The sequence below is a fragment of the Homo sapiens genome, chromosome 17 (assembly GCF_000001405.40).
Source record: "Homo sapiens chromosome 17, GRCh38.p14 Primary Assembly".
Taxonomy (NCBI): Eukaryota; Metazoa; Chordata; class Mammalia; order Primates; family Hominidae; genus Homo; species Homo sapiens.
This window is the reverse complement of record NC_000017.11, coordinates 2,292,537-2,303,013: the sequence shown is the minus strand read 5'-3', so window position 1 is coordinate 2,303,013 and position 10,477 is coordinate 2,292,537. Positions and strand designations below refer to the sequence as shown.

The window sequence follows — 10,477 nt, the reverse complement described above, 5'->3', positions numbered from 1 at the left end:
GTAAGAAAGATTCTAAGTGTCTCACCTCTCCTGCGTTAGGCAATAGAGTTGTGTAGAATGGTAGCTGTGATAGGTGCCTTCTCTAGGTTTGCGGCCAGTCTGTGAAATTGGTTTTTGTTGATTAACATAATTGGATTATTAAGGCTATTTTCTCCCGCTGCTCTAGAAAGTAGTAGGAATAGCTTTCCCCATCCCCCCGCCCCCCACCAAGTTACAGACTGCCGAGGGTGAGCTATTCTTGGGTTAAACTGCTTTATCTTTGTGGATACTTCATGAACCTACCTTTTAAACTTATGAAAATAGTGAAGCACTATCCAAAACCTCAGTCTCTTTTCTTCCCCTTTTCCTTACACCTACAAACAGTAAATGTACTTGCTGGAGCATATGATTCCTGTTTTGGGCTTGTTTCCATTTATATTTAGAGAGCAATACTAGGATTAAAAACTTTTTTATTGTTGTTATTATTATTTTTTGAGACGGAGTCTAGCTCTGTCGCCCAGGCTGGAGTGCAGTGGCGCGATCTCTGCTCACTGCAACCTCCGCCTCCCGGGTTCACGCCATTCTCCTACCTCAGCCTCCCCAGTAGCTTGGACTGTAGGCGTGTGCCACCACGCCTGGCTAATTTTTTGTATTTTTGTAGTGACGGGGTTTCTCCGTGTTGGCCAGGATGGTCTGGACTCCTGTCCTCGTGATCCGCCCGCCTTGGCCTCCCAAAGTGCTGGGATTACAGGCGTGAGCCACCGTGCCCGGCCAATTTTTTTGAGGCAGGGTCTCACTCTGTCTTCCAGGCTGGAGTGCAGTGGAGGGATCTCAGCTCACTGTAGCCTCCCCCTCCTGTGCTCAAGTGATCCTCCCACCTCAGCCTTCCGAGTAGCTGGAATTACAGACCTGCACCACCACACCTGGCTATTTTTTGTATACGTTATAGAGACAGGGTGTTGCCATGTTGCCCAGGCTGATCTCGAACTCCTGGCCTCAAGCAGTCCTCCCGCCTCAGCCTCCCAAAGTGCTGGGATTATAGGCGTGAGCTACTGCACCTGGCCTATGCTAGGATTTTATATAGCATTCCATTTGTGTACTTGATAATATTCTCCCGAATTCTGTCACTTTTCCATTGTAATGTTTAGTGGTTACTTTTGATAACGGTAACAGATACTTTTTTAAAAAACCAGATACTTAAGTAAGTATCTGTCCGCTGGGCTGGAGTGCACTGGCGCGATCTCCGCGTACTGCAAGCTCCGCCTCCTGGGTTCACGCTATTCTCCTGCCTCAGCTTCCCGAGTAGCTGGGACTACAGGCGCCCACCACCACGCCCGGCTAATTTTTTGTATTTTTTGTTGAGACGGGGTTTCACCGTGTTAGCCAGGATGGTCTCGATCTCCTGACCTCGTGATCCACCCACCACGGCCTCCCAAAGTGCTGGGATTACAGGCGTGACCCACCGCGCCCGGCCGAGAGTGGTTTCTAAAGTCCTGTATTATTCTTAATTCTTGAGTTCCCAGTTGTTGGCATTTTGAGAGTATGTCACAATCTTTCCATCAGCATCCAGGGAAAGTTCCCTTATGGAACTTTTTTCTAATAATTCCATCATCACAGTAGCAGTTAGTGTCAGTATTCTAGTATGATAGTCTGAGCAGTATTTTGGTAACTCTGTGAGCTACTGTTAGTGAGTTGGTGAGGATGGGTGAAGTTGAAGAATGGGAAAAGAACTGCTTGCTGTTTAATTCACCAGCAGGTATGTTATTTGGTAATTGGTATCTTGAAGAAGAGAATCATCCTGGTCAAGTTTAAAGACTAAAGTTGCATTTTTTTTCTCCAGAGATGTCCAGGACTGATAATTGTTATAATACCCTCCCTCCTTTTTCTCCTTTTTTACTTCTTCCTCCTGCTGTTATGTTAAAAGAACTTAGCCACCCAGGAAAAAGTTAGAGGCGGAAGAAAAGGCTGAGGTGGATTCACAGGCTCTATAGATAGAGAACAGTGTAGTGCTGAAAAGGTTAGAGAGGTCTTTTGTTCTGACAATAATGAGGTAGTTTGGGATCTTGGATTTCTGAATATGACTTGGATGACACATAAGGAGATGGGTTTCCCCCATTTCACTTACCCAAGTGTAGGTAGCCCCAACACAGTTAGGTCCTTAGCCTTGTGAATTGTTGAACAAGTGTTGTAAACCCAGAATTTCTGCTTCTACAGAAATGTCCTTCTTTGCCTACCAGTATTAGCATTTGGATATGTAATTCTTGCTCGACTTTTTTTGTTACTTAACCAGAATGACAGTCTTTCCCCTATCTTCCTTCTTTATTCTTATCTTCTACCTTTCCCTCCCAAACTCTTTCCCCGACATAACAGAAAACATGAAGGAATTAAAGGAGGCCAGGCCGCGCAAAGATAACAGGCGTCCAGATCTGGAAATCTATAAGCCTGGCCTTTCTCGGCTAAGGAACAAGCCCAAAATCAAGGAACCCCCTGGGAGTGAGGAATTCAAAGATGAAATTGTTAATGACCGAGATTGCTCTGCTGTTGAAAATGGTACACAGCCCGTTAAAGATGTCTGCAAGGAACTGAACAACCAAGAGCAGAATGGTCCTATAGACCCAGAAAATAATCGGGGACAAGAATCCTTTCCTAGGACTGCTGGACAAGAGGATCGTAGTCTAAAAATTATCAAAAGAACAAAGAAACCCGACCTGCAGATCTATCAGCCTGGACGACGTTTGCAGACTGTTAGCAAAGAATCCGCCAGTCGGGTGGAGGAGGAAGAAGTCCTCAACCAGGTAGAACAACTGAGAGTAGAGGAAGATGAGTGTAGGGGAAATGTTGCGAAGGAGGAAGTTGCGAATAAACCAGACAGGGCTGAGATAGAAAAGAGCCCAGGTGGTGGGAGAGTAGGGGCTGCAAAAGGAGAAAAAGGAAAGAGGATGGGAAAAGGGGAGGGGGTGAGGGAAACCCACGACGACCCAGCCCGCGGGAGGCCGGGCTCCGCAAAGCGCTACTCCCGCTCAGACAAACGAAGGAATCGCTACCGCACGCGCAGCACCAGCTCAGCTGGCAGCAACAACAGCGCTGAGGGAGCTGGCCTGACGGATAATGGATGTCGCCGCCGCCGACAGGATAGGACCAAGGAGAGGCCACGACTGAAGAAGCAAGTGTCTGTGTCCTCAACCGATTCCTTAGACGAGGACAGAATTGATGAGCCTGATGGATTAGGACCCAGGAGAAGTTCAGAAAGGAAGAGACATTTAGAAAGAAACTGGTCTGGCCGTGGGGAGGGTGAGCAGAAAAACAGTGCTAAAGAATATCGAGGCACTCTTCGTGTCACTTTCGATGCAGAAGCCATGAACAAAGAGTCTCCCATGGTGAGGTCAGCCAGGGATGATATGGATAGAGGAAAGCCTGACAAAGGCTTGAGCAGTGGGGGCAAAGGCTCTGAGAAGCAGGAGTCCAAAAACCCGAAACAAGAACTTCGGGGTCGTGGTCGTGGCATTCTGATTTTGCCTGCCCATACCACCCTATCTGTCAATTCAGCAGGTTCTCCAGAGTCCGCGCCTTTGGGACCTCGGCTTTTGTTTGGATCTGGTAGTAAGGGATCTCGGAGTTGGGGCCGTGGAGGCACCACACGCCGATTGTGGGACCCAAACAATCCTGATCAGAAACCTGCTCTAAAGACTCAGACGCCCCAGCTACATTTCTTGGACACTGATGATGAAGTCAGCCCTACATCTTGGGGTGACTCACGCCAGGCTCAGGCATCTTACTATAAGTTTCAAAACTCTGACAACCCCTATTATTACCCCCGGACACCAGGCCCTGCCTCCCAGTATCCCTATACGGGCTATAACCCTCTACAGTACCCAGTGGGCCCTACGAATGGTGTGTACCCAGGGCCTTACTACCCAGGCTACCCGACTCCGTCAGGACAGTATGTGTGTAGCCCTCTACCTACCAGCACCATGAGTCCCGAGGAGGTAGAGCAGCACATGAGGAACCTGCAGCAACAGGAGCTGCACAGGCTTCTCCGGGTGGCTGACAACCAGGAACTGCAGCTCAGCAACCTGCTCTCCAGGGACCGCATCAGTCCGGAGGGCCTGGAGAAGATGGCGCAACTCAGGTATGATGTGGTCTATTCTGGCTGGAGGGAAATGGGGATCAGCCGGAGGTGTATAGATTGCTATGGCTGAGGAAGGTAGAAACTTTTTAGCTGAGCCACTGGGTATTATTTCCTTTTCACGTTGTAAGGGAAGGGCAGTTGGAAACAGAACAGAAGTTTTATTTCTAGTCTTTTTTTTTTTTTTTTTTAAGACGGAGTCTCGCTCTGTCGCCCAGGCTGGAGTGCAGTGGCACGATCTTGGCTCACTACAAACTCTGCCTCCTGGGTTCATACCATTCTCCTGCCTCAGCCTCCCAAGTAGCTGGGACTACAGGCGCCTGCCACCACACCCGGCTAATTTTTTGTATTTTTAGAGAGACGGAGTTTCACCATGTTAGCCAGGATGATCTCGATCTCCTGACCTCGTGATCCGCCTGCCTCGGCCTCCCAAAGTGCTGGGATTACAGGCATGAGCCACCGCGCCCGGCCCTATTTCTAGTCTTAGAAATAATTATGCATCCTACTTTTTCTTTAAGAAAAAATTATCTTTAAGGGATCATGGAATCTTGAAATGGAAAAAGACTTTCTAGAATGCCAAGAAATGAACAACATGTAACTTGCAGTGAAGATCTTATTTCAGTTGTTAAATTTAGGTGAAGACATATGGGGAAAAACTATTTTCCTAGACACAACTATCTTTAGAATGACATTCTGCTCTGCAGAATGGAAACCAGAGTGAGTAGTATACCTACCTGGTCACATTTTTTATTTCCTGCCAGGGGAGGTGGTTAATTTGCAGGAATCTCAAAACTTGAGTCTAGCTTTTTCTGTGGTGTATTTGGAGCTGGAAGTTGCATGTATTTTATTCCAGAGCTGAACTGCTGCAGCTATATGAGCGCTGTATTCTATTAGATATTGAGTTCTCTGATAATCAGAATGTGGATCAGATCCTGTGGAAGAATGCTTTCTATCAGGTGATTGAGAAGTTCAGGCAACTTGTCAAGGATCCGAATGTTGAGAACCCAGAACAGATTCGGAACAGACTTTTGGAGCTCTTGGATGAGGTAAACTGTCATCTTTTTGTCCTCAGGATAAAGGCTTCAGCATTCTGTAGTTACGATGGATTTTTACTACCTGAAATACTATGTTTTAGAACAGAATATCGACAAAAAAACTGCCCTTTTCTTGGGTTCTGAGCCTTCCCTACACCAGTTGCTTCCTTGGGACCATAAATTACTGGCAATTGGAGTTTTGAGGTTGAAAGCTTTCTGAATGCCTTGGCCTAAAAGAGAGAGAATGAGAATGTGTATGTATGTGTTTGTGTTTGTGTGGAGAGAGCGTGTGTGTGTGTGTGTGTGTGTGTTCATGTGTTCATATCTTTAAAACCATGGAGGCTTTGACTGTGAATTTGCCTTGTTCTCAAATTGGTGGCCAGTGAATATTGTGCGTGCCTCCCTTTTCATAGGATGTCTGAACATCAGCAGAACTGTGAAAGGGTTGTCTGCCCCGGTTTTTGGTGGATAGGTTGGATTAGAATAGATTGATTCAGTCATTTCTTTTTTTCTTTTTATAGGGTAGTGACTTCTTTGATAGTTTGCTTCAGAAGCTGCAGGTTACTTACAAGTTCAAACTGGAAGACTACATGGATGGTCTTGCCATTCGCAGCAAGCCATTACGCAAGACAGTAAGCTACCTTCTTTATGTATCTTAAATTTTCATTCATTTCGTAAGCGTTTATCTAGTGTTAGGTATGTGCTAGACACTGTACTGGGTGTTGAGGATAAAATAATGATACAGTTCAGTGCAGGGACAGATAGATTAAACCAACAATTGTAATGTCATATGTACTATGGTAGTGGTATATAGCAGTGCTCCCCAGCCTTTTTTCTTTCTTTCTTTCTTTTTTTTTTTTTTTTCATTTTTTGAGAAGGAGTTTCATTCATGTCACCCAGGCTGGAGTGCAGTGGTTTGATCTTGGCTCACTGTAACCTTCAACCTCTGCCTCCCAGGTTTAAGGGATTCTCCTCTGTCAGTCTCCCGAGTAGCTGGCGTTACAGGTGCCCACCACCAAGCCTGGCTAATTTTTCTATGTTTTGTAGAGACGGGGGTTTCATCATGTTGCCCAGGCTGGTCTCGAACTTCTGACCTTCGGTGAGCCACCCGCCTCAGCCTCCCAAAGTGCTGGGATTGCAGGCATGAGCCACCGGGCCTGGCCAGTCCCTAGCCTTTTTGGCACCGGGGACTAGTTTCATGGAAGACAGTTTTTCCATGGACGGAGATGTTGGGGCATTAGATTCTCATGAGGAGTGCATAGCCTAGGTCCCTCGCATGCTTAGTTCACAATAGGGTTTGCGCACCTGTGAGAACTAATACCGCTGCTGATCTGACAGGAGTTAGGGTTCAGGTGGTGATGCTTGCCTGCCCACCGCTCAGACCAGAGACTGGTACCAGTCCGCGGCCTGGGGGCTGGGGACCCCTGATATAGAGTGTTGAAGGGCCATAGGGAGAAGTGAATCTAACGTAGCCTGGTGGGGCCAAGGAAGGCTTCTTGGAGATTGTCAAGCTGAGTTTTGAAACATGACTAGGAGTTTGAAGGTGGGAGGGGCAGTTTAGATAGAGGGTCCAGCAAAAGAGAACCAGGCATTGTTGGGAAAGTGCAAGAACTTCAGTATGCTGGTGTTTGTAGTGTGGAGGGGGCTATTGTAGGTGGAAAAGCTAACAAAGTGGGAAGCGACTAGGTCATAAACTCTCATATGCTATGCCGAAGAGTTTGGACTTCATTCTGAAAGCACTGGGGAACCATTAATTGATTTTTTAGTAAATGGATAAGGTAGATTTGTTCTTAGAACCAGTCACTTGGGCAAATTGGTGAGTTTGAATGGGAGCTGGGCAAGAGTGGAGATAGAGGAGTCAGGTTGTAGGTCTGAACTAAGATAGAGGTCGTGGAGATGGGAAAGAGAAGACAGATTGGAAAGAAAGAAAGGAAATAGAATGGAATTGTTGACTGATTTGGTGTGAGGGATGAGATTGGAGGCATGAAGAGTCTGAATCATCTCCCAGCTGGTAGTCCAGGGGAGTGGCTGCAAAGGAAAGAGATTGGTTCAGGTTTGGATATGCTGATGTGGAGGTGTGTGTGTTACAGGAACTTGAAAGTGAACAAGTGAATATTGTGGTCTCTCTGGAGGTCAGGAGAAAGCTGGGCTGGTGATATAGATTCATGAGTCATCATGATACAGGTGGTGGTTGAAGCAAAAGTTGGGGTACTGGGAAGGCTGGCCAGAAACGGGGGTTACATTTCAAGGTGGGGGTAGGTAAAATTGTCAAGTGCAATGGAGCTGTCAAATGTTAAGATTACTAAAAAGTGTCCGTTGGATTGGATGAACTTATCAAGAGTTAATTTAGTTGGGGAAACTGGAAGCCGGATTGTAGTGAAGAGAGATAAAGCAGTAGAGATTGCCAGAGAGTAATATAGACCATTCTTTTAAGCATCTTGGCTGCGAAGACAAGGAGGGAAGACAGCTAAAAGAACATAGGGTTCTAAGAGAAGGTTTTTTGTTCTTTGTTTTTCGTTTTTTTTGTCTGTACCACGCCTGGCCAGTTTTTGTTTTAAGATTGGAAAGTTGAGCATATTTAGGAAGCAGTTAGAGATGCATTAGGGAGAGCAGCGTGATTTATGGAGCAGAGGCTTCCTCTTGCCTTTTTGCTCCTTCTACTACATACACACTTTCTTACTGATGGACAGATGTTTTTGGCTGGGCGCAGTGGCTCACTCTTTAATCCCAGCCCTTTGGGAGGCCAAGGCAGGCAGATCACCTGAGGTCAGGAGTTTGAGACCAGCCTGGCCCAACATGGCGAAACCCCCTCTCTACTAAAAATACAAAAATTAGCTGGGTGTGGTGGTGCATGCCTGTAATCCCAGCTACTCAGGAGGCTGAGACAGGAGAATCGCTTAAAAACCAGAAGGCAGTGGTTGCAGTGAGCTAAGACTGCGTTATTGCACTCTAGCCTGGGCAACAAAGTGAGACTCTATCTCAAAAAAAAAAAAAAGTGTTTATTGAGTTCCTCTTACATGCTTGGTGGTATTTTAGGCAGAGGCAATTCAGTGCAGATTGAAAAAAAACCGTGCTCCTGTTTCTTGGAGTTTAGTGTTTGATTGCTGGTGAGTACAGACTTTGGATGAGTAATTGCTGATGGAGTGACTTTTGCCAAGGATGTTGGGGGTGTATACTGTAAAGGGTTAACCTAGTTTTAAAGAATCCTGTGAGACTGAGAAAATCATAGTTAAACTAACGCTGAAGGCCGAAAGCTTCAGCCAGGTGAAGGTGTATGTGTAGATGCAAGGAGAGGAACATTTTAGGGGAAGAGGACAATATACTTAAAGGCCCTGAAGTGGAGAACACCGTGGTGTGTTAGGGGAACTTTGGAGTCTGGTCTGACTGAGGTACAGAAAGTGACCGGGAATATGGTGCTGATGAGGTAAGCAGAGGCTCAATCGTCCAGGACTTCATGCTGAGGCTGACGGAGAGCCTTTGAAAGAATTTGTTTTGTTTTGTTTTGTTTTTGTCTCTTACCAACATGACAAAGTGGATGTAGTATGGAGGCATAATCAGTTCTCTTTGTGCTTTATCAGTTAAATACAGAGGATTCTTAACACCTTTGGGGATGTTCATTCATAGAATCTGTGGAACAGTTAGGACTTGGGGTATGTGATATGTAGTCATTATAACTTTGCTGAGGTACAAATTTGAGTTATGTGCTAGGTAGGAGGTTAATGTGCAGTAGCTATTTCGCTTAGTGAGTGTGCCTTCCTGAGGGGTCAGTATCTTCTTCTCAATGAAGCTTTGTTCTTTATTCAGTGATATGTTAATTTCTTTTGTGTGGAGTGGAGTGGAATTATATTGTGTGCTGTGAGGTGGTGTTCCCTAGGGAGATATTTTGGGGGGCACATGCCTTGGGATTGGTTTACTCTGTTTTCTGAGTGACAGATGCCAAGCCAATCAGTGAGAAAACACATAGTCCTGCACAGTGTGTGGCACGTTGTTAATGTGTGATAAAGGACGATCCATTGTTTTAGGTGAAGGTAATGTAATGCCGTGGTACAATTCAGTGATGTTAACAGTTTGAAGAAAGACTATAATGATGGCAAAAAAAGTGGGTGGGCGTGATGGCTCACGCCTGTAATCCCAGCACTTTGGGATGCTGAGGCAGGCACATGGATCACTTGAGGCCAGGAGTTTGAGACCAGCCTGGGCAACATGGCGAAACCCTGTCTCTATTAAAAATAAAAAAATTAGCCAGGCATGGTGGCGCATGCCTATCATCCCAGTTACTCAGGAGGCTGAGGCACGAGAATCACTTGAGCTCAGGAGGTGGAGGTTGCAGTGAGCTGAGATCACGCCACTACACTCCAGCCTGGGCAACAGAGTGAGACGCTGTCTCAGAAATTATTAGGGGGGAAAAAAAAGAATAGAGTAAACAATTGTTTTCATATTTGTTTGTCTCTTTATAGTTTATAAAATATTTTTACATTTATTTCCTCCAGTTACCCTATAGAGTAGTTACTTTTACATTCAGGTGAAGAAACTGAGTCCCAGAGCATCTCAAAGACTTCCTTGAGATCCAACACTATTCCGTAGAGTCAGATCTCCTGACTACTAATATCAAAATATTTTCTTTCATTTGCCTGGGACTCAAGAATCACCCTCTCTCTTTCTCACTAAATTTTGTATCACACTGCTGACTGTTTTTTTGGTAGTCAGGTTTAGGCTGAAAACTTTATAGTTTGTTGTGTTTTTTTGGTAGTCAGGTTTAGGCTAAAAACTTTATACTTTGTTGAGGACCGCTAGTGCCTTACGAGTGCTACATTGTCATTTTCACCCCATCCCTGTCCTTTGAGGGTTGAAGTTAGTGTTTCTTGGCTTTTCTACTAACTGGTTGTTTTTCCTGAAGGTAAAATATGCCTTGATCAGTGCCCAGCGATGCATGATATGCCAAGGAGATATTGCTAGGTACCGGGAGCAAGCCAGTGATACAGCGAATTATGGGAAAGCACGCAGGTACTTTTACCTCTGCTTCGTTATTTCTCTTCCCTATGTGGCTCTAAGCTAAGCCTTACTAAGAGCAGTAGGCCATGTGGGTGTTGTACAGGTGTCCCTATTGGTCCCTGTAGTCATGCCTTACCCCTCCAGGGTTACATCTAACACTCTACCTTATGTTTTAAGTATTAGGGCTATCAGGATGAATTGGGAAAAAGCTAATCTGGAACTAGCATTTTCTTACTGTTTTTTCTGTTCTAGTTGGTACCTGAAGGCCCAGCACATTGCTCCCAAGAATGGGCGCCCCTATAACCAGTTGGCTTTGCTGGCAGTGTATACGGTAAGAAATCCTGTG

General features: G+C 45.6%; 1 protein-coding gene across 10 annotated transcripts in view, besides 1 other annotated feature; it reads left to right on the top strand.

Annotated features, from left to right (window-relative positions):
* Window positions 1–10,477, top strand: part of SMG6 (SMG6 nonsense mediated mRNA decay factor) — a 243,947-nt gene that overhangs the window by 772 nt on the left and 232,698 nt on the right. For all 10 annotated transcript variants that reach the window (XM_011523769.3, XM_047435696.1, XM_005256569.5 and 7 more), the window contains 5 exons: window positions 2,350–4,108; window positions 4,959–5,151; window positions 5,661–5,771; window positions 10,037–10,143; window positions 10,384–10,462. In XM_011523769.3, the coding sequence (XP_011522071.1) occupies window positions 2,355–4,108; window positions 4,959–5,151; window positions 5,661–5,771; window positions 10,037–10,143; window positions 10,384–10,462 (2,244 nt within the window). In that variant the 5' untranslated portion in view covers window positions 2,350–2,354. The remainder of the gene's footprint in view (window positions 1–2,349; window positions 4,109–4,958; window positions 5,152–5,660; window positions 5,772–10,036; window positions 10,144–10,383; window positions 10,463–10,477) is intronic.
* Window positions 157–971: an enhancer, noted in NCBI's record as "H3K4me1 hESC enhancer chr17:2205337-2206151 (GRCh37/hg19 assembly coordinates)". NCBI's record gives its function as "activates a minimal SCP1, AML or CMV promoter by ChIP-STARR-seq in primed H9 embryonic stem cells {active_cell/tissue: H9 hESC(primed)}" and the evidence as "EXISTENCE:reporter gene assay evidence [ECO:0000049][PMID:30033119]".